The 24,403-nt window shown below is 36.9% G+C and overlaps 1 protein-coding gene across 20 annotated transcripts in view; it reads left to right on the plus strand.

Annotated features, from left to right (window-relative positions):
* The window catches only part of FIRRM (FIGNL1 interacting regulator of recombination and mitosis), a 70,244-nt gene that overhangs the window by 30,417 nt on the left and 15,424 nt on the right, over positions 1-24,403 (plus strand). For 16 of the 20 annotated variants that reach the window (XR_921872.2, XM_047424760.1, XM_047424762.1 and 13 more), the window contains 9 exons: positions 7,426-7,506; positions 9,155-9,219; positions 12,798-12,946; positions 13,458-13,587; positions 15,010-15,196; positions 16,006-16,088; positions 16,443-16,494; positions 18,164-18,253; positions 22,674-22,859. Coding sequence is in view for 18 of the 20 variants with exons in the window: in XM_047424760.1 (XP_047280716.1) it covers positions 7,426-7,506; positions 9,155-9,219; positions 12,798-12,946; positions 13,458-13,587; positions 15,010-15,196; positions 16,006-16,088; positions 16,443-16,494; positions 18,164-18,253; positions 22,674-22,859 (1,023 nt within the window). In the remaining 2 variants the exon portion in view is untranslated. Of the gene's footprint in view, positions 1-7,152; positions 7,179-7,425; positions 7,507-9,154; positions 9,220-11,839; positions 11,963-12,797; positions 12,947-13,457; positions 13,588-15,009; positions 15,197-16,005; positions 16,089-16,442; positions 16,495-18,163; positions 18,254-22,673; positions 22,860-24,403 lie in introns of those variants that run through there. The other 4 variants (NM_001366771.1, NM_001363739.2, NR_159440.1 and 1 more) reach the window with 3 other exon arrangements.

Genomic DNA, 24,403 nt, shown 5'->3' on the forward strand with positions numbered 1-24,403 from the left:
ACAGAGACCATACATGGTACCATGCAGTTGAGAGAAATGTAAACAAAGGTAAATATGCAGTATTAAATCATAACTGCATAAAATTAACTGTGGTACATATTGTAGTACTATTAGGTTGTGCCAAAGTAATTGCAGTTTTTGCCATTATTTTCTATATATTCAGTATACAATAATTTCATAGCCACTTCCTGTTGCTGTTACTGTGAAAAGTGTTGCAAGGCCATGTGATACTAACCATCCCCACGTGAGCAGTTTGTCTCTCCAGTAAGTAAATTGCTTTTCTCAGTAAAAAGTTATTGCTTGAGGTGCCTCCATATTTTTTCATCATCTTTAATGCAATATGGAAACCCATAAGAAGTGCCACTAGTGATCCTGGAAGTGCTCCCGAGAATTCCTTGATACATATTGTAAATTGAGGTCTGCAACTGCAATTACCTGCCATTTCAGATAGATGATTCTTCTTGTAAATAGACAGTGTTAATACATATACAAAATATGTTAATCAGCTCTTTTTATTAGTAAGGCTTATAGTCAGTGGTAGGCTATTAGTAGTTAAGTTTTGGGAGACTCAAAAGTTATCCTCGGATTTTAGACCACATGGGGGTTGGCACCCCTAGACCCCATGTTGTTCAAAGGTCAACTGTATTTAGGTGTTCTCCACATGATGCACACTTGGTACATTTCAGTTTTCACTATATAAAAAAAGTTTTGTTTTTTTTTTTGTAAAGCGAAAGCAAGTTTATTAAGAAAGTAAAGGAATAAGGCCAGGCGCGGTGGCTCACGCCTGTAATCCCAGCACTTTGGGAGGCAGAGGTGGGTAGATCATGAGGTCAGGAGTTGGAGACCAGCCTGGCCAACGTGGTAAAACCCCATCTCTACTAAAAATACAAAAATTAGCTGGGCACAGTGGTGGGTGCCTGTAATCCCAGCTACTCCGGAGGCTGAGGCAGGAGAATCTCTTGAACCCAGGAGGTGGAGGTTGCAGTGAGCCGAGATCGCGCCACTGCACTCCAGCCTGGGTGACAGAGCAAGACTCTGTCTCAAAAAAAAAAAAAAGAAAAGAATAAAGAATGGTTACTCCATAGGTGGAGCAACCCCTAAGTCTCCTGGTTGGCCACTTTTATGGCCATTTCCTGATTTATATGCTAAACAAGGGGTAGATTATTCCCTTTCTGGGAAAGGGGTGGGCAATTCCCAGAACTAAGGGTTTCTCCCCTTTGTAGATCATATAGGGTAACTTCTGGTTGTTGCCAGGGTATTTGTAAACTGTGATGGAACTGATGGGAGTATCTTTTATCATGCTAATGCATTATAATTAGTGTATAGTGAGCAGTGAGGACAACCAGAAGTCACTTTTGTCACCATCTTAGATTTGGTGGGTTTTGGCCAGCTTCTCTACTGCATGCTGTTTTATCAGCAAGGTCTTTGTGACCTGTCTTGTGCTGACCTCCTATCTCATCCTGTGACTTAGGATGCCTAACCTGGAAATGCAGTCCTGTAGGTCTTGTCCTCATTTTACTCAGCCCCTTTTCAAGATGGAGTCCTCTGGTTAAAACACCTCTGACATATTTCCCTCCTCCCTTTTATAAGGGAACCCTTAATCCTAAGGGTTGTAGAGGGACAAATAGACATCTTCTATAACTTCTTCGGGCTGAATAGGGATGATGATATTCCTGCCTAACTATTGGGGTCTCTTATATTTGGGGTAGAGAGGAGATCAGTCAGAAAGTGTCAGTATGATGAGGGCCATTCATAACTCTCAATTCCAAAAAAAGATGATATCTGGAAGATTAGTAAGTGTTCGATTTAATAAAACATTCAGTAATTCATATTCCTACACAGAATTATCTTGTATTCCTACACAGAGAACAACAGCAGTATATTCTACAACAGTAAAGCAAAATAAGTAAAATTATCCCAAGTAAACTAAATAAGAAGGCTTTCCATGAACTGGGCAACTGTTGGAAACCAAGCTGATTCCAGTATGGGCCCAGAATTAGAATACTGATCCAGATTTTCACATTACCATCTCTCTTGTTTCTTCTGAGCAGCAGCCAGAGATCACTGGTTGGTTCACAGGAATAAGCAGGGTTAGTCTAAATTGCAGAAAAAACCCTCAAGAACAACTGATGAGAAAAACACTCAAAAACACCTAATAACAAGTGTACCATAGTTTTTGAAACATAATTTTTTTCTCTCTCCAGTCTCCCATTTTTACTAAAGGCAAATCATGATAAGACTGATTTGCTTTTTTATACTTGGTCTGATTATCTGTATAAAGTACAGCAAGAATAATTATTTTTCACATGGGCTTTTTAAAATTGGCTTTGATGGAACTCTGTTTCATAAGGAAACTCAGATAAGACTTTTTAAAATATGAATTGGGTAAATTCCTTTCCTCTTGAGGTCCCAAGATAACTTGGGGCTCCTGGGCCTGTCAGAAAGTGACATTCTTTATTTACCACAGGTAAGGAACCCTGTACAGGGACTGCATAAACAAGGTATGAGGCAAGTTTTCCCAAGGGCCTTTATTGGCTTTATAAGTCAAGTTTGATTCCTTAAAGGAAAGCACACTATTCCAGCCAAAGCCTTGGTAAAATAACCAGTTTCTCCAGTTGTGTCCTGTTGCAAAAGAAAACATTCGTATTGCACTTATGCAAATAACTATATTGCTGTAAGTTAAGAATATTCATAAATAGGTTCCAAATTCTGGAGAAATCAGAAACAAATATGCTCCAAATTTTATTCACAGTGATATACTTTACTCAATTGTTAAACAGCTCAAAGAAAAGCTCACAACAGCTCAAAAGAAGTTTTCTTGACTCTGAAAAATAAAACAAAGAATCAGCAACATTTTAAACAAAAAGTAAAAAAAAAAAAATTACTTCAGTCTTCTGTTAGTTCAGTCCATGTAGTTAATGCTTGCCCTGTTTGATATCCACGAACACTCCATCTCTTCATGAGAGTCCTGAAAATTTCTTTCCTCTATTTTAATGTCACAATTGCCAAAGTTATCAGAAACCTGCATTGAAAAGCACCTGTCAAAGTCCTGTAGCTGATTAAAAATCAACTTTTGATTAAAACAAGACAACAATTGTCTGTGGATGACAAAAAGCCTTAGGGCAGCCTCTGTTAAAGCCATAATTGACTGGGGATTTTGGTTACTTCTGTGGCAGATAACAATTTTATATAACAATTATAGTATACATTAAGTCATATCAGAATTATAGTTGTTTCCCATAATTTTGGAACACATGCCAATAACATATTTATACAAATATAGCCCAAAGAAAGCCAAACATCATTTTATATTTGACTATGCTTCCTGTATGATTTTTATACCAAAAAAGCCAAGTTTCACCTTTGCACTAGTGTCCTATTGATGTTAACCCCAATTCTTAATAAAACTGTATAGACAAATCTATCTAATTTTAATCAGTATAAAATGTAATCAGTATAAAACTGTATAGACAAATCTATCTAATTTTAATCAGTATAAAATTTAATCAGTATAAAATCTAATTTTAATCAATATAACCATAAGGTAAGATTCTCATAAACTATTTACAACTCTTTACAATTTTTGTTAAAGAGTAGATTATTGCTCTCAGGAAATCCTGTTGTGATTTTTTCCAGTGTTCAATTTATGGAAAAACTGAATAATGCCCCTTTAACTTTAGCCAATATGTTCACACAGATTTTTTTTTTTGCAAGATTAATTTTTTACAAATGTTGTACAACTTGCTCAAACCTTCAGCGTTATCCTATTTAACTTAAAACAATCCTATCCCCCTTTAATCTAGGTCAAAAATCCACATTCCCATGCTTTCTTATAATCTTTTACCAAAAACACATTTCACTTTCCTTACATACCTGTAATGTAAAACTGTTTCTTCAGTAGTCTTCAATTACATGTTACAATGTTAACTCTTAGCAACTTTTACTTATGGTGGAAAACCTTGGTAAGTAAGGAATTCTAATTATGTACTAGGTATGGAGCCTAGGACACAGAACAGAAGTGTAGGTAAGGTCTGACTCTTTCTAGCATAGCTAGGGGGCATGGCTAACACCACATGTCCCCAGGCCTTACCTAGAATCTGCTCCAAAGTTAAACAGTTTTCAAAAGTCAAAGAAGCAGTTTATGACCTTAAAGCATTTAGCAAACCTAATATCTAACCTGCCTAATTTAAACCACGTCTTTATTTTGAAGATATTTTAATTTTACCAATAATCTTTAAAACTGTATTTCCCAGAAATTACTTAAGTCACATGAACTAAAAGGCATTCCACTTTTTACTTTTCTGACAAAATATTTAAGTGTTCATTATTTTTAAACCAGTTATCAAGCTCTTTTATATTTCATACACAATACATATAAATATACAGAAGAAGAGATCCAGTAGTTATTAGATTTTTCATTTGCCAGTTTTATTTATTTATTTATTTATTTTGAGACAGAGTCTTGCTCTGTTGCCCATGCTGGAGTACAATGGCATGATCTTAGCTCACTGCAACCTCCGCTTCCTGGGTTCAAGTGATTCTCTTGCCTCAGCCTCCCAAGTAGCTGGGATTACAAGCATGAGCCACCACACCTGGCTAATTTTTGTGTTTTTAGTAGAGACAGGGTTTCGCCATGTTGGCCAGGCTGGTCTTGAACTCCTGACCCCAGGTGATCTGCCTGCCTCAGCCTCCCAAAGTGCTGGGATTACAGGTGAGCCATCACCCCTGGCTCATTTGCCAGTTTCTTAATTGGATTACTGGCTTTAGGGTAGAGCCCTTGGAGGAACAGGGCCAGGAAAGCATGCGGTTTCTACAGCCTAATAAGCAGGCACAGTTGGAACGCAAAATAGATCCGCCAAAATTAAGTGTCCCATTTGTATACTGGATCCTGGATTCCCAAAAGAGAAACACTATAGAAAAAGGCAGTCCAATGATTTTACCATGCATTTCATTGCAAAGTAACCCAAAGCCAATCAGTCTATTCTGTGATCAGCCCATCACTCATGGGAGTTGTATCTCTCAATGGGGGTTGAGGGGAAGGTGGGGACATCCCCATACCTTCTAAGTGGCCAAGAGCATGCTTCTGATCCAAATGTGCAAAGATCTTGAGTATCCCCCTCGTGCCATTAGTTATCCCCAAAAGTATATTTCCTACCTAGTTATATACCAAAGCTCTGTGAAGTAATTTATGATACCTCCAAAGTGAAAAACATCAGATAATGCAATGCAAAGCAGAACAGAACAGAGCCTTAGATTTTGAGAGGGATCTATCCACTTTTAATTCTTGGGGTTCCATGAGGAAAATAGAGGTTTTCACTAAAAAAGGATCTGTGGTGCCCCCTCTGTTTTCCGATGGAGTCCCAGGCTGTTAGAGCTTGAATGTCTACTTTGAATTAAGCTGACTTTTAACCACAGCACTTTTTAAAACGTCCTTTTAAATCCCCTATTACCCGACTTTAGCCATGCCAAAGTGCGGATATTTCTGGCTTTTGAACGTTACCAAAGGTAACCTTCCAGGTGCTCAGAGAAAGAAAAATTCAAGACAGTTCATGGAGGGGAAGAGAATCAACAAATGGTAAAGGTCACACAGATATCAACCAGAAAGTACTCATTGCCTTTGCCAGATTGAACCCGGGCCGCCAGCCATTGTAAAATGGCAAAGCCTTAGCTGCTGAACTCCAGCACTAGGCAATTTCCATTGTTCTTTCCAGAAGGAGCCCAGAGCAGCCAATTTTGAGCTTGCAAAGGCTCAAGATAATTTTTAGAGCTAATTAAAACATGAACCCCCAAATTCCTGTCCTCTGGATGGTAGAGACAAAGAGCAAGTACTGCCATGTGGTTACAAGGTCAAGCTCCTAAGGACATTTTTCAACATGTGGTCTCTGGGCAAGATGAAAGAGTGGACAGTTGATCTGAGTAACAGAAAAGATAAGAAAGGGAAAGGAGAGAATGGGAGAAAAGCATTGCCTGTGGCAGGGTGGGGAAGGTGAGGAGCTCAGGGAGGCCTGAGAAAGACCCCTCCATTGCAGTGACACTGAATCAAGTTCAGGCAGCACTTGTCTGTAGTGAAGGGACCTTTTTCAGCAGTCCCATCAGCTCAAGTTTCCCCTTTTGGGGAGGATAAAAGCTCCCCACGTCCCATGATTCTGTACATGCCTAATCCTGTCACCCACAGCCGTCAGCAGGAGTGCAAGGCCAAGTAATCCAAAGAGAATAGCAGTTAACATCCCGTAGTGCCAAACCAGTTCTTAGCCAAGAGGGACTTTACTGAGGGGGATCTCTAACCCCCTAAATCTTAAGAAGGAGTCTAATTTTCCTAAGTTGGGCCGCAAACCAAAGTTCAGTCAAGCATCTTTTCCTTTTATTAAGAGGGGCGTTTAAACCCACCCTGTCTTAGGAGAGACTCTAACTCCCGTAAGTTAGGCCTCTAACCCAATCCTCTTCATCACCTGGGTACCCCACTACTTAACGAAAGTTGACTAATTGGTGCTGCAGTCTGCTTTTTGGGGCTGGAGGTTTCCTCAGTATTGTCCCTACAGGGTTTGCCAGGAAGTTATTACTGGAAAGGGGTCCTGATCCAGACCCCAAAAGAGGTCTGGATCTTGTGCAAGAAAGAATTCAAGGTGAATCCATAGAGTAAAATGAAAGCAAGTTTATGAAGAAAGTAAAGGAATAAAGAATGGCTACTCCATAGGCAGAGCAGCCAAATATGTCACATTGCATACCTATGCTAGTATTTCTATAGACTGTATTTCCAGAAATTGAATTGCTACTCAATTAAGGTGTTTTAACATTTCAACTTTTAATAATAATGTATTATTTTATGCTCCCACCAATGGTAAAAGAAAGTGCTTGTTAACTTACTTCCTTACTAGTGCAGGGATATTATCAGTCTTTTTAATCTTTGCTAATCAAATAACCCTCAAACCTCCCCCTTCCCGAAATATATATAATTAAGTTATAATTTGGATATTTTTCAGTAGCAGTTTGTTTTGTCTTTTTTGTGTAATGTGTTTTTATGTCTTTACCTGTTTTCTTTTATATATCATTCTTTCTTTGATTTGTAAGACCTTTTTCTTTTGACCATCCGTTAAATTGATCCCCATGTAACAAAGAATAAGGTATTTAAATTTCTTTCACTTTCAGATCAACTGAGAAGGATCACCTCTTTTGCTATCGTAGGTTAAGATTTCTTTTCTTTTCAGTAATGTAGAATTTAATTTAATACCTCTGTTGTCATTTGTTATTTGTATCGCACCTAATAATTCAAAGAGGAGTTATATTTTCTCGGAAAAATTTTATACTGTGTTTAAGAGGGGTTTTTTTTGTTTTTGTTTTTAGAAAATATTGTCTCATTTGTAAGCTTAGCTAATTTTATATTCTTTTCTTATTTATTATGCTTTCTTATTTCCCTTTTTGGATCAGGATAATGCTGACTACAGATTATTTCAGAAAACACTCAAATTGTGTCGTTTTTTTGCCAACTCCCTTTTGCACTACGCTAAGGTAAGGCTTTATTATACGTTACTTTATTTAATTGTAGTTCTCTCAGAAAACGAATTATTATCCCTATTCCACAGAATAGAAATTTCAAGCTCAGATAGCATATAACTTGATCAAGTCACATATCTAGAAACCGGTAAGGCTGGGATTTAAGTACAGGTGTGATTTCTTTATCATTTATGGTTAGACTATGTCTTAGAAAGTAAAAAAAAAATAGTTTTTATTGTATTATAAGATATAGGAAAAAGCTGATGGTCATTTAAAAATTTTTAAAGATTCCCCTGATAGAATTGATTTTTTCAGAAAGACAAGCAGCATAGTTAGAGAAAACTTTGCTTCCCTACACACCAAGTAAATATCAGATGGGTAACAACTACCCGTCAAGTGCCATTGGTACATTTCCCACAATGTGTCTTTGCCACTGGAATACAAACCCTGCAAGCTGCAGGGAACCCAGTGTAAGAAGCAGCCAACTACTCTTAAATGGCAGCTGCCCAGAAAGACCAATTTGGATGGCAGTGTATCAGTAGCCAGGGTACCAGCCATGGCATTCTGACTATAATAAATCGTCATTGGAAACCCTTATCTTTCGTCAAAAACAGAAGACTAGGTCAAAAACAAATTGAACATGGACAATAGTTTTTTTAAAAACCACTAATATCTTTTACTAATAATGTTTTGTTCACTGGCTGCTGTAAGCATTCTCTGCTCATCTTTGCAAATAATCTGCCTTGACAACTTTTCTATTTATTAATTTTTTTGAGACAGAGTCTCGCTCTGTTGCCCAGGCTGGAGTGCAATGGCGTGATCTTGGCTCACTGCAACCTCTGCCTCCCAGGTTCAAGTGATTCTCCTGCCTCAGCCTCCCGAGGAGCTGAGACCACAGGCGCCTGCCACCACACCCAGCTAATTTTTGTATTTTTAGTAGAGATGGGGTTTCACCATGTTGGTCAGTCTGGTCTTGAACTCCTGACCTCAGGTGATCTGCCTGCCCTGCCCTCCCAAAATGCTGGGATTACAGGTGTGAGCCACTGTGCCCGGTCGACAACTTTTCTATTTTACAGTTATCGCTACTGTTCTGATGACTCTCAAATACGCAGCCCTCTTTAAAATTATGACACAGTTTTTAACGTTTGAACATTGTGGTTAAATAGAACAATGAGTTTTTTAGCCTCATCCTCCTTTCATTCTCATGTTAAGAATTTTTTTTTAGTGCTGGGTGTGGTGGCTCATGCCTGTAATCCCAGCACTTTGGGAGGCCAAGGCAGGTGGATGACCTGAGGTCAGGAGTTCAAGACCAGCCTGGACAACATGGTGAAACCCCTCCTCTACTAACAATACAAAATTAGCCGGGCATGGTGGTACATGCCTGTAATCCCAGCTGCCTGGGAGGCTGAGGCACGAGAATTGCTTGAACCTGGGAGGCAGAGGTTTCATGAGCCGAGATCACAACATTGTACTGCAGCCTGGGCAACAAGAGTGAAACGCTATCTCAAAAAAAAAAAAAGAAAAGAAAAGAAAGAAAAACAAATAATTTTTTTAAAAGGGGTCACATTCAGGATTTTATGTTATTTTGCATACCTTTGTGAGATTATATGTACTAAAGAGACATATTTTTATGCAAAGAATGAATAGAGTTGTTTTATTTTAGGAATTTCTTCCTTTCCTCTCTGATTCTTGCTGTACTTTGCACCAACTGTATCTTCAGATACACAGGTAAGAAGAATGCCATATGATTATTAAGATACAACAATGCCATCTGTGCCATGCAGTGCTTAAGTACCTACCATTTTATGATAAAACAGAATAATTTTTCTTAATGTTTTAGTAATTTTTATCTGCTAGCTTGAAATAATTGGAGATAGAGGCTTTTGAAAGATACATTCCACATGAGTTATGCTTATCTTTGTATTTTATTAGTACCTTATACAGGAGTAATAATTAGTAGGTGATAAAATCCAATGGCAAATATAAATATATATATACACAAATATACGTATACCTTTATTTTTCTATTGGCATTTTTTAATCTTTATTTTTATTTTGTTTCTATGAAGTTTAAGTCACTTAGCCTCCATTTAAATTTACATTTTGATACCTTTCTGTAATTCACTTTACAGGACAGTCTTTTTTCTGAAACCATCTCAGAAAAGAACTGAATTACAGAAAGGTATCAAAATTTAGATGGGGGCTAAGTGACTTCTAAAATTGATGGTTTCCTCCAAAGAGCCCTAAATTTGACACAAAGTGAGTTCATTTATCCAGCAGTCCTGTTGCAGCTTCATAATTCATTTAGTGTCCCAGACAACTTTTTCACACCTTTCCTTCCTCAAACTTCCTGTATCTTCCAACACCTTCCCAATTCCTCACTGTCAATGACCTCACTTCCTGTGTCACTGAGGAAAAATGGAAGCAATTAAGAGAGCTGCTGTATGTTTCCTCTAACACATCTACTATTCTATGTGTATCTAGACCCATATATTCATTCCCTCACTCCCATGAGTGAACTGTGCCCCTAAGACTAGCCTCTCCATTGTGCATTGGATTTCATCCTCTCTCACAGGCTCAGTGACCTTGCACCAGCAATTATTCCCTTTCCCTCTTGCATCATCAGCCTTTCCTCCATACTGGGTCACTCTCATGAGTATACAAATATGCTGTTATTTTTCCCATCTTAACAATACAAAACAAAATCTCTTGACTCTACGTCCTCCTACAAATACCGTCTCGTTTCTCTGCCTTTCTTTACAGCAAAATTTCTAGAAAGAGTTGTCTATACCCCTGTCTCAACTCTTTCTTGAATCTAGTCCAATCAGGCTTTCTGTACCAACACTTCATCAAAATAGTTCTTGTTAAGGTCATCAGTGACCACCACATTGCTGCATCCAGTAGTCAATTATAGTCCTTCTGTAACCTGTCAGTAGCACTTGATCCTCTTTTTTGAACACTTTGTTCTGTTGGTTTCTAGGGCATGTCTCACTCTTGGTTCTCTTCTAGTCTTACTAGCTGCTCCTTCTCAGCCTCCTTAGCAGGTTTCTCTTCTAAGTTAAGTGTGTCCCAGCACTTACTCCTCAGGCCTGTTATCTGTCTATTATCATTTAGTCTCAAGACTTTAAGTTTATGTCTCCTTTAATGTTTAACTACTAGTCAGGACATCTATACTAAATTGTCCCAAACTGAACTCTTGATTTCCACCCATATCATCCTCATACCCAACAAAATCTGTTCCTTTTGTAACTTCTTTATTTCAGTTTAAGTGGCAGTTCTTCAAATTGATCAGGCCAAAAAACCTTGCCCTATTAACATGTTCTGTCAATGTTACCTTCAGTGCACACACGCACACGTACACGCACTTCTCATCACCTGAACTGCTACCATCTGATCTGACCCCCTATTATTTTCTTGCCTGGATTTTGCAAAAAACTTTCTATCTTTGCCTCGCGCTAGTTTGTTCTCCACAAAGTAGCCAAAGTAAATGATAAAATACATAAATCAGATGATGTGACTTCTCTGCTCAACCCCTCAAAATGACTTTCATCAATGGAACTTCTTGTCTTTCTTTCCTTGTTTTATTTTTCTTCTTTACAGCATTGAATTAACCTCTGCTATATTATGTATTTACTTGTACACTTGTCTGTTAACTGTCCCCTTTCATTAGAATTGTAAACTATAAAGACAGTGACTTTGTATATTCTCTTTATTACTGTATCACCCACTCGTGGAACAGTGCATGGCATGTATACATAGGCACTTAGTAAACATATGTCAAATTAATTTAAAAATAGTTGATTGAAAAAATAAATTCTTGCAATGATGCTCAGTAGATGTAATTCAAGTCTGTGGAATTTCATTACTATGTTTTATTTGTATATGTCTTTTATTTATTTATAATTTAATCCTCACAGTAACTCAGAATCAATGTCACAAATGATGAAACTGAGTCTCAGGGAGGGCAAATGAATGAACCAAAGTCATGTAACTAATTGACAGATTGGTGCTTTTTCCATCACTCTACAAAAACCTCAAGTGTTTATCTTAAGTGCATACTTTAAAATGCTGTTATCCTCTGCTAGACAGAGTTTTCTCATGTATTGTCAAGTTTACAATTAATGTGGCAAAAAATATAGAATACATATCTTAGTTCACATAAGTTTTGATTGAAGTTCAGTTTAAAATCCAGTTACTGAGACATTTTCATGAAATAATCTTTCCATTCTTCAGTGTTAGTATACAGTTTATTTCTTGTAAAGCTCTTGCTTCTGAGAAACTGAGTATTAATTCATAGTAAATTCAGCATTCTGCCTATTTTAAAACAACTTTTTTTTTCTTTTTTGAGATGGAGTTTCGCTCTTGCTGTCTAGGCTGGAGTGCAATGGCGAAATCTCGGCTCACTGCAACCTCCACCTCCCAGGTTCAAGCAATTCTCCTGACTCCGCCTCCCAAGTAGCTGGGATTACAGGCATGTGCCACCATGCTTGGCTAATTTTGTATTTTTAGTAGAGACGAGGTTTCTCCATGTTTGTCAGGCTGGTCTTGAACTCCCAACCTCGCTTGCCTCGGCCTCCCAAAGTGCTGGGATTACAGGCGTGAGCCACCACACCCGGCATTTTTTTTTTTTTTTTCTGAGATAGAGTTTCACTCTGCCGCCCAGGCTGGAGTGCAGTGGCGCAGTCTTGGCTCACAGCAACCTCTGCCTTCTGGTTTCAAGTGATTCTCCTGCCTCAGCCTCCCGAGTAGCTGGGATTACAGGCATGCACCACCACAACCAGCTAATTTTTGTATTTTTAGTAGAGACGGGGTTTCACCATGTTGGCAAGGCTGGTCTTGAACTCCTGACCTCAGGTGATCCACCCGCCTCAACCTCCCAAAGTGCTGGGATTACAGGCATGAGCCACCACGCTCCGCCCAAAAACAACTTTTAATAGAAATAAGCTAGAATTTATCAGACATAGTCTTTTCAATATATATTTTTACTTTTGATTTAAGATTTAGATTTTTATAGTATTTTTAAGGATATTGTGAAAATGATATCAGTGCCTCAAAGCAACAAAGATTTCTCTAAGATTATCAACTTCTCATTTTATAGAATTATGGCTATGTTTAGTTTAGAGATCTTGATCCAATTCTGGTATCAATTCAGTACTTTGAATTTTGTTTTATAAAATGCACACTTATTTTTAAAAACTTAGTTTTTAATATATTTTTACTACCAGAACATCAGTTTATAGTACTTACTCTACCTAAAATTAGAAGATAGCTATTAATGAATGAGTTTTTTTTCTCTCCCTTCCCAGCAAGTTTCCTCCAAGCCTTTATGCTACCAGGATTTCTAAAGCACACCAAGAGGAAATAGCAGGTGCTTTCCTAGTGACACTGGATCCACTTATCAGTCAGCTGCTCACATTTCAGCCTTTCATGCAGGTGGTTTTGGACAGTAAATTAGGTAAGCTTCAAAATAGATTTAATGATAAATCATCTATTATGACATGTTAGAGACACTGATTTCCCCTAGCCATTCTTTTTTACAATTAAGAAATTTTTATTAAGTTTCTTTTACTTTCTTTTCTTGAAACATATTTCTTATTTAAAAATTATACCTGGCTGGGCACAGTGAATCACACCTGTAATCCCAGCACTTTGGGAGGCCGAGGTGGGCAGATCACCTGAGGTCAGGAGTTCAAGACCAGCCTGACCAATATGGTGAAACGCCATCTCTACTAAAAATACAAAAATTAGCTGGGTGTGGTGGCATGTACCTATAGTCCCAGCTACTCGGGAGGCTGAGACAGGAGAATCGCTTGAACCCAGACGGTGGAGGTTGCAGTGAGCTGAGATTACACCACTGCACTCCAGGCTGGGTGACAGAGTGAGACTCTGACTCAAACAAAAAAAAATTATTCCTTTACGTATTAATCAGATTTCTGCTGAATTAATGTGTTTTTATTACATGTAAGACCTGCCATGTGAACTGCAGTTTCCACAATGTCTTCTTCTGGTTGTTGTCATGGATAAGCTGCCATCTCAGCCTAAGGAAGTGCAAACCCTGTGGTGCACAGACAGCCAGGTCTCAGAAACGACAACCAGGTAGCAAACATGTTTTTATCCAGTCATATTACCAATGGTTAAGAAGGCCCTGTTGTTTGGAATGGTCTTGAAATTAAGTTTGTGTGTTTTTTTTTTAAATCAGATATTTATGTTAATAGTTATTGTGTAGACACACATATATATTGCTACTTTATAAAAGCAGATAAATATAAAATATATAAACCTATATTAGATGCTAAAAATATTTTAATATTTAATTTTGTTCAGTATTGCTTAATGGTCAGCATTATAAACATTGATTGTAATAGAGTAGCTATAAGTAGAAACATTTAAAAACGAGCTCTGATAAATAGAACACTAGACACTGTAAGGTATATCCTGGCAAATTTAACCTTTAATCATCTTCCTTGCCAACACCGTAGTCCAGGCTCTAGTTTCTTTCTTCCTGGATTACTCTGTGCTCTAATTTTTCACCTCTTCCTTTATCCCATTCTGCGTACCACGATGAGGTTAGTCTCCCTAAACCTGGCTCTGAGCTTCCTATTCTGCTCAAAAACTGAAACATAATGTTAGAACTTCTCAGCTTTGGATTTAAAGCCTGTCCCATACTATTGTCATCTTCTGCTTTTTCTCCTCATTCTTGTATTCATTTTCAACACATATTCCTTGCTTCTGTCACCCCCTTATTTGTGTGCTTTTACTCGTGCTTTTGTCTTCTTTACGTACTTACAATTTGAACAGTTTTGTTTTGTTTTTTTTTTGTTTGGAGCAGGGTCTTGCTCTGTCACCCAGGCTGGAGTGCAGTGGCATGACCATGGGTCACTGCAGCCTCAACTTCCTGGGCTCAAGTGATTCTCCTACCTTAGCCTCCTAAATAACTGGGACTAATGGTGTGTGCCAGCTGTCCTGGCTAATTTTTAAATTTTTTCTAGGGATAAGGTCTCACTATGTTGCCCAGGTCTTCCAACTCCTGGGCTCAAGTGATCTTCCCGCCTCGGCCTCCCAAAATGCTGGGATTACAGGCGTGAGCCACTACACCCTGCCCATAACTTGACTATTTTTAATTTGTTGTTTAAATCCTCTAAGTTTCTTCAACCATTTTAATCTTAAAATGACTCCTCGTCTGCTACTTATTTTCTGTTTTTCCATATAATATCTAATTTAGCTATTTAAGTTTCAAGTTCCTTGAGGAACTTTGACTTTGTGTAACTCAGTACCAAGATAAACAGTTGGTAAATGATGCAAAAAATGTCCAGGAAAATTCTCCTTTAAGGAATTTCTTTGACAGTGAATATATTTTCCTTTTATGTGTACATATTCACACGTGTTGGAAACTATTGCTGATTATACCTCTTGAAACATTTTCTGCTTAAACAACCTTCCATGTTACATATTATTATTATAATTGCTAATTAGTAAATGTTATTAATGTTGGGTTCAATGTTCTCAATTTCCCTGCAGGATATCTCTACTCAAAGCCGTTTTCTACAGTTTTGAGCAGTGTTCTGGTGAACTCTCTCTACCTGTTCATTTACAGGGATTAAAGAGTAAGGGGAAAGCTGAGGTGGCTGTCACCTTGTATCAGCATGTTTGTGTTCATCTGTGTACATTTATTACTTCCTTTCATCCCTCACTGTTTGCTGAACTGGTAAGCATATTACTTACTGTGCTAAGCTAAGGTTACACTTTTGCTTTCTCTTCATTGAAATTGTGATTCATATACAGAAGAAAATGTGGGAATACTTAGTATATTCCTTTTGAGTGAAACTTAGTTGTGTCCTAGAAAATGGTAATCCCAGATTCCTGTATTATTTAGATCTAATATTTGGCTAAAATATTTGAGAAAACATTTTGGGTGGGGAGGTATGCAAAGACAATGTGAGAAGAGGAAAAATATGTAGTACTTAAGTAAGTTTCAAAAGAAAAGTAAATAGCTTGTAGTATCAGGTCTCTTATAGATCTCAGACATAATATAGATTTTAAAAAGGATAGAATTTGATTTGAAAAGAGGTTAAGAAATTCTAGGAATTCGATACTTGTAATATCTGAAATTTAAAGATCAGTAGCATTTCAGATATTACACAATATCTAGCACCTATTAAATGTTGTATGTGAATAAAGGCAGAAAGAGGAATATAAGCATATATGTTATTTATGTTGTTTTGAATATTTCAGGCTACTTAGAGAATCTTTGTGGATCCTAGTGACTGAGTTATTACATTTAAAATCATGTTGAACTCTCCATAGCACAGCACAGTACTTAATGTATAGTAGGTGCTCAATAAATATTGAGGGAATGGCAGTGTCCTTTCAGATACTAGAAAGTAGAACTCCCCCATTGAGGATCTGTTATTTGGATTCTGATAGTGCTTTCTTGTTTTATTTTGAGAAATATAATATTATTGCTTATTGTGAACTTTAGTATTTAAATAAATTAATTTTTCTGTTTTTGATTAGGATGCTGCTCTGCTGAATGCTGTACTTAGTGCTAATATGATCACCTCTTTGTTAGCTATGGATGCATGGTGCTTCCTTGCTCGGTACAACATATTTGCTTTTTTGTTCTTTGGATTGGTTATTAGTAGTGACTGACAGTAGATAATTTTATAATTGTAAGCTTATAGAAAAACTGTTTCAATAATCCTTTAAAAATAATTCCCAAAACGCTTTGATTTCATATTACAGCATTAAATTAGGAAACAAGTTCTTTCTTTGGTTCAAGCCAATAGATGAGTACTGTTTAGGGAGTTTTGTATATTGTGATATTATTTGGTCATGGAAATAATGGCAGTTTTTAATGTCCTCATCAGAATATTTAGTGCTTTATGCAAGTTCATCTCCTTATGTTTCTGAGTAATTGTATAAACATAGTTGTCTTCTCTTTTATATTGCAGATATGGGACTGCTGAACTGTGTGCACACCATGTCACCATAGTGGCTCATCTGGTGCGTAGAATTACAAGGCCTAAAACACCCACTTTCTATGCACTTCCTTTGGGGATATGATAATCTTTAAGAATGTGAATATCGGCGGGAGAAATATCACAGTAACAAGATTGTTTTGACAGTCTTTGTCTTGTATTAATGCTGATGCTTTTAAGAAGGATGTACTAAAAAACCGTTAGTGTGAAACTGGGAATGTTTTCTCATATTCTCAGGATTTTATGTAATTTCAGTAATTGTTCTGGGAAGGAAAGACTGGGTTAATTGAAATTACATTTAAAATTGAATGCAAAGTAGAAAATAAGAGCGACTTATAATTGATGGCCAAGAGGTTTCTCTCTTCTGTCTCTCTAATATGCCTTAGACAAGTCGACTCTTGATTTTGTTGTATTTTTTTTTTAAGTCAAGATGATTTGAGAGGAACTTGAGTTTGACATTGATAGATACTTTTGGCAAAAGAAGTCATGTTTTATGAATGGGTACAGACAGAAAATTATTTTATAATGATTTCATCATCTTAACATTAACATTTTTTGCTTTTAAATTCTGAGGTGTTTTATGTGTTCCATATAAGATGATTATGACCTATTTGTTACATATTTTTTTCCCTGGCCTTTAAGATCTTATGTGGGCCATACATCTTTTGTTTTCTAATAGTCTTATTGTATCATATATTTCTTGGTTTACCTTTAAAGGATTTTGTAGATCAGATCCAGTGAGGTGTGTAATAACCTGAACAGCTGACATCTATGTCTCCATGGCTGATGGTCTGGATTATCACTTACACACTTTACTAAATCCTTAACATATCTTTCACAAAGCAGATAAAGAGTGATTTTTATGTTATGTGTTTTATGTCTGAAGTTTCCTTTAAATAAAAGCTTTCTTAGTGCATTATGTTGTAGGAATGGATTTCTTCTAGTTCATTATGATAAAATTGATTCCAGGATGGAATGATACTATATTATGATAGGAATTGATAAAATTGAATTTATAAAATTTTTTTGTTAGTGGTGGTTTTTTTCTTAGAGACAGGGTCTCATTCTGTCACCCAGGCTGGAATGCAGTGGTGTGCAATCATAGTTCACTACAGCCTCAAACTTCTGGGTGCAAATGGTCCTCCTCCCTCACCCTGCTGAGTAGCTGGGACTACAGGCATGCGCCACTATGCCCAGCTGATTTTTAAAACTTTTTGTGGATATGGAGTTCTTGCTGTGTTGCCCAGGCTAGTTTCAAACTCCCGGGCTCAAGCAGTCCTCCCACCTTGGCCTCCCAAAGTGCTGGGATTACAGTTGTGAACCACCACACTCAGCCCCTGTAACATCTTTTAATGAAGCTTCTGTCTTGTAGAGTTTTATCTACCTCTCTACTATTGTAGTTAGATCTTAAAAAGTTCCATGAATTGTCTTTGAGTAGGAGGACTGACATACCCAGTTATCATCAAAATGATAATTAGAAATAGAAATTACAGTGTTAAATATGTCAGAAGTTCAATCTCATTCTAAATTTAGATTCATTGAAGATAAGAAAAGCCCCAAATTAAAAGTCAATATTACCTACAATCTTTTCCCCTAGAAAGAGCTGCTATTAATATTTTGGCATATTCTCTTCTTGTAAAAATTCTGATTCTAAATTAGTCAGTCTCTCCTCTCTCTCTCATGTCTTTTTCCAGATAAAGTCATGCCCTGGAGAATGTTATCAACTCATCAACCTATCAATACTGTTGAAGCGTCTCTTTTTCTTCATGGCACCACCCCATCAGGCAAGGAAGGATATCATCTTTGTCACTGTCTGTGAAGCTGCTCAGAGTTGGATTCAGACTCCTTTGATAGCCTTTTTTTTTCCATTTTTAAAAATTTATCTTATTATTTTTTTTGAGACAGAGTCTCGCTCTGTCACCCAGGCTGGTTTTACAGTGGCTCGATCACAGCTCACTGCAGCCTCGACTTCCTGGGCTCAAGCAATCCTCCCACCTCAGCCTCCTGAGTAGCTGGGACTACAGGCACACACCACTACGCCTGGCTAATTTTTAAAAAAATTACTTGTAGAGACTGGGTCTCACTATGTTGCCTAGGCTGGTCTCAAACTCCTGGGCTCAAGTGATCCATCTCTGCCTTCCAAAGTGCTGAGATTGCAGGTGTGAGCCACTCTGCCTGGCCTTGCCTCCATTTATTTTAAATTTAAATACTGGTGTGATCTAAGCATAAATTTTTGACGTTGATTGCTGTGCTTGTTGCTGGGTATAGATTTTGATGTCCTTGCTTTGAGTTATAGATAATTATTCTAATTCTGTCTTCCTGAAATAGATCTTTCCCCTTATTTTTCATATATATTTGAGATACATGATATGAAATGGTTCTATATCCCCTGCCCCTTTTATTTTGAAGAGCTAGAATATTATTTTTGCTCTTAGTGGTCTTTACTTACATAAACCTGTATGGCCTAGTGCAGTCCCTCAGACTGGTCACATTGGAACTGTTGTAGGAGCTCTTTTAAAAATATAAGTTCCTGGACTCTAATCTGTGGATGGGTGGGTATGGAGGCATGGGTATGAAGTAAGGCTCAATAATTTGTTTTTGTTGGTACTATCATTAAGTTCCTGCGTGAGTCAGACTTGGATCTAAGCTTGGGAACCACTAGATTAGTGAAGAGGATTAGACTTTAAGGTCTTATGGTCCTCGGTTTGAATCCTGGCATACCATGACCTTAGGCAAGTCATCCTTTCTGAACTTCATTTTCCTTGTCTGCAAAGCAGAAGATATGTATAACTATTTTGAAAAAGTTTGTAAAGACTTGGAAATAATACATGCAAAACAGGATAGTGCTGGGTTTAAGAGGGTGCTCAGTAAATGCTAGGAGTTATTTCTGACTAGGGTTTTTGCCTCAAGTCCAAGTCTTTTCCTGCCCTAGAGTGGTTGGCCAGGAACCAGAGGTACTACACCTACCTCTTAGCCTTCTTTTCGTAGCCCCACCTATTAGCCCTCTAAGAGCACGGGGAGCTTGCTTGCTTACAAAAGAATTTTCTACTCCAGATATCTTAGAAGAAGTGGGACTGGGAGGGAAAGGGTCACATGTCATAAGACTTTAAGAAAGTCACTTTCCTTTTTTTTTTTTTTTTTTTTTTTTTAAATAGAGACAGGGTCTGGTTATGTTGCCCAGGCTGGTCTCAAACTTGAACTCAGACGATCCTCCTGCCTCGGCGTCCCAAAGTGCTGGGATTAGAGGTGTGAGCTATTGAGCTCAGCTGTCACTTTCCTTTTAACCTCAATTTTCTTATTTATACAACAGGAATAAAATTATTTTCCCAAGGTGGTTATGAAATTTTAACTTTTAAAATAATATAACTCAGAATGAATTAGCTATGAGGTCTAGAAGCAGTGTTCTAAATTAGATAAATTATAGTTTATGCCTAGAGATCTCTTACTCTCAGTTTTCTAAATTTTTCCAAATAATTGAGACTATCAGATATGTAAATTATAGGTAAATGAGGGGTTACTTTTAATTTGTATCTTCAGTTATCAAATGCAGATTTTCTTTATGTACAAGTTATTGTGATAAAATTTAAGAAAACCTGAATCTGCATACCTATTTTAAGAGTCCTTAGGAGAGTTAATTATAAAATTGAGATAGATACTAATACTCATATGGCAGTTAAGAAACTTGATAAGATACACATATGGCATGAAAAGACCATTTAACAAATGTTAGGTCTCCTCTCCTGCTTGGCTCTTTTTTTTAACCCCTTAAGACATTATCCTTTCTCTTAAATGAAGGAGGAAGGGAAATAATATTTTTGAGACTGTAACAGGCCAGGCACTTAATTCATTTAGTCCTTACAGCAGCCTTGTGGGATAGATAATATTGTGTCCATTTGACAGATGAAGAAACAATAGCTCGAGGAAATTAAATAACTTCCACAAATTCACACCTAACAGCTGATCTGGGATGCTGAGGCAGGAGGATCAGAGGATCTTTTTATTTAGCCCAAAGTTCAAGTCCAGCCGGACAACATAGCAAGACTGTCTTATTGTAAAAAAACAACTTGGAAACCACGGCACTATCTCATGATATCTTAAGGAACATAAAATCTAGTAGAAATTATAAATTTATAAAGATACTCATATTAAAGAGTGGTTTGTGATGAATGCCAAAACTGAGGCACAAATCAAATGTTGTTGGGTGTTTGTAGCTGAGACAGTCATTTCTGAAGAGGTGCAGTATGGGAACAGGTAGGCATAGGAGTTGGAATTGATGGCATTTGAGTTACATGTTACAGGATGAATGTGGAAGGTGGTGGGACTAGAGAAGCAAAGGTAAGAAAGCATATTAGAGAAAAAAGGAGAAGTGAGCAATGAAACTTGAAATAATTATTCAACTATTTGCATACAAGATGGTGTCTTTTTAAATAGTAAAATAAGAACCCAAATTTTTTTACGAGTGATGTCACCTTAACATAAATGAAAATAGTTAATCCCAGTATGGTGATGATATACTTTAAAAAACAAAGGTGTCTATGATGCTAATTTGGAAGAAAATGCTAATAGAAAGATGTTAGAATGCATTTACTGTTCTAATAGGAGTAATTATTGAAATCACATTATTTCTTTTAGTATGTAACTATTAGTAGTATTCCATTGTATCAAGAAAAGCAAAAATACAAGGAGGTTACCTACTTGAGGGAAAAGTATTTAATATGCCTTATCTAAGCACACTGATAATTGTACTACCTTTTTAATGTAAAGTAAAAATTACTGTATTTGCATTTTAAACCCACAAGTGTATTTTTTCTCTTTCCAATTTTAAGAAGTCATAATTCTCTGTGTATTGTCCCCTTTTACTTTAGTCTTTTATGAACTATTTTGTCATAGCAGTTTTAAGTCTTTAGAATTGTGTTGAAACCAGGGTTTTCAACCTCAGAATAAATCTTGAACTCTTTCTATAACAAATTTTGGCAATACCTACCCTTTTATGTTGTCCAGGACATTATTTTTTTAGTTTCTATTTTGGAAAGGGAAGTAGTTCACTTACTTACTGGACTTTATTATAAAGAAAGGTGATATTTGAACTGATGTTTACCAGTTGGCACAGTTCTCTTGGCTTTCCTGATGTAGTTTGGTTTTATGAATAAAGCTGCTTTTTGTAATAGACACTCGCTCATCAAGGGATCTGTTTTTCTGGCTGTAGCCTCTGTCACAGCAGATAGCCACATGATTTCTAGCTTGCATTGACTGGTAAATATTTTCCACAAAAGAAATAAAATTGAAATACAAATATAGCATATGACAGAAAAGTTTCTCTGTCAGATTTAATTTTTTTTTTTTTTTTTTGGTGGGTTTTTAGTTTTTGGTATGGGAAAAGTTTTCATCAAGTAGATTTTGAATATTTTAAATTGAATTATTCTACTTCTTAGAAAATACACTAATATACTTCCTAGTTGGATTATACTTATTTTAATCATTAAATGCAGCATTGGTTTTTACCATTTTTCTACCAAAAACTGATTCAACATTTAAACTGTTTCTTAGAACTTTTGTTTTCCATTTTTATCTAGTCTCTAACATCTGCATTTTAACAAAACAGTACTTTTCTGTTAACCTAGTAAGCACTTTGGTTATTTCAGTGGTGGAATGGATTTGCCAACCACGCTCTTTTTGATTTGTGGCTTACCTTTGTGAAACTGATTTAGTATGTTGTCTAAAGTAGGACAGAACCAGCTAACTCATTTGAAAGCTGAATCTTTGCTTCTTTAAGTTCTCTGCTATAATCAAGTGAGATAACAGTAAGCTATGAAGGTTGACTAAATCCAGTTTGTATATTTGGAATATTACTTTTGACTTAACTGTACAAGGTGACGAGTATATAGGAAAATAAGACTTATTGGTAAGTAGGAGCATGATAAGATATCTGACATAACTAATAATGAAATACATTATTTAATGTCTTGGTGCATTTATATTGTGCTCCACTTAAGCTGTGTTTTTGTTTTGGAAACCAATGCAGCATCAATAACAATAATAATAAAGCATGTTCATTTATGTTACCTTGGTCTGGAATGTAGATATTACCGTACCATTATAAAGCTTTCTCGAAATATTAAATGTGGAAACTAATACTTAGCTTTTGTGTATCCATTCCTCTGACTTGTCTCATGTTACTCTTCTTTCTTTAACAATTTATTTCAGCTGGAGTTTATCCAGAAATTTTCCCCAAAAGAAGCAGAAAATCTGCCTCTGTGGCAACATATTTCCTTCCAGGCGTTACCTCCTGAGCTTAGGGAACAAACTGTCCATGAGGTCACCACAGTAGGCACTGCAGAATGCAGGAAATGGCTGAGCAGGAGTCGTACTTTGGGAGAACTAGAATCTCTGGTAAGATAATAATTTTGATTTATTTTATTCATTCAGCAGCTGTTTATTGAGCATTGTTTTAGGTACTGGGGTTAGGTTGTTAATAAGATGCACACACTCTCTGTTCTCTGTTTCTGTTAGAACCTAGTAAGATTTTCAGATTTCTTCATTGTAAAAGAATCTGTGAGAAACTTAACTGTTATTTTAATTGATGTATTATATTGGGGGGTTGTTTCCTATGTCGCTTAAGGTATGTTGAGACATGATCAAACACACTATGGAACACTTCACTTGTGTATTTTTGCTGATGTATCTCTGGATTATGCAGATGTAATTCTTCCATTCGACAAAATACAACCCCCATTTTATGCTAACTTACTCTGAACCTTTATGTACCTTTTACATAGAATGTTCCCTCATAAAATAATGGAATAATAAGAGACTTATCTACTAGAAGAAGTAGGAAATGTGAGATTTTTAAAAGTTGGCTGGATATAGTACATGTAGTTGAAATTTCGAGTTTAGTGTTCATATGCTCATTCATTCATTCAACAAATATATTTGGAGTACTTTTATGTGCCACTTTGTTCTAGGCATTGGGGGTACATCGGGAACCAAAAATTTCTACTCTCATAGACTCACATTTGAGCTTAGCAGTGGACAGTAAAATAAGAAATGCCAATTATGTTAAGTAGAGAAAAGCAAAGATAAGGATAGGGCATTCAAAGGGACAGAGGTCTATTTGCAGTTCTAAATTAGGAGTTCAGGTTTTTCTGAGGGCATATGTTTCCATGCTGAGTACAAATGTTCTGATACCGTTATATGTAATGACACTTGATCATAATTATTATAATTTTTTGGCGGGGATGAGGTTTCGTTCTTATTGCCCAGGCTGGAGTGCAATGGTGTGATCTTGGCTCACTGCAACCTCCACCTCACGGATTCAGGCAATTCTCCTGCCTCAGCCTCCTGAGTAGCAGGGATTACAGGCTCCCACCACCATGCCCAGCTAATTTTTTGTATTTTTAGTAGAGACGGACTTTCACCATGTTGGCCAGGCAGGTCACGAACTCCTGATGTCAGGTAATCTACCCTCCTTGGCCTCCCAAAGTGCTGGGATTACAGGTGTGAGCCACTGTGCCCAGGCTTATCCAAAGGAAATGTTTTTATGTGACTTTATTTTAGAAAAAGTATCAAATACCTAGTTAAGAATGGGTTAAATGTGTCCGAGTTTAGCATTTAATGTGTACCAATTTCTATAGTAAGGACAAAGGATGTTTTGTTTTATATTAGGTAAAGAAAAGCACTATAAGTAAACTTTTTGAAGTATGACCACAGCTTTTTAGTCCAGCAGGTTGTTCAACATACGTCTTTTATTTTAAATTTTTTCAACTTTTATTTTTTATTTTATTTTTTGAGATGGAGTCTCGCTCTGTTGCCCAGGCTAGAGTGCAGTGGCATGATTTTGGCTCACCGCAACCTCTGCCTCCTGGGCTTAAGCGATTATCCTGCCTCAGCCTCCAGAGCAGCTGGGATTACAGGCACCCGCCACCATGCCTGGCTCA

The sequence above is a fragment of the Homo sapiens genome, chromosome 1, assembly GCF_000001405.40.
Source record: "Homo sapiens chromosome 1, GRCh38.p14 Primary Assembly".
Lineage (NCBI taxonomy): Eukaryota > Metazoa > Chordata > Mammalia > Primates > Hominidae > Homo > Homo sapiens.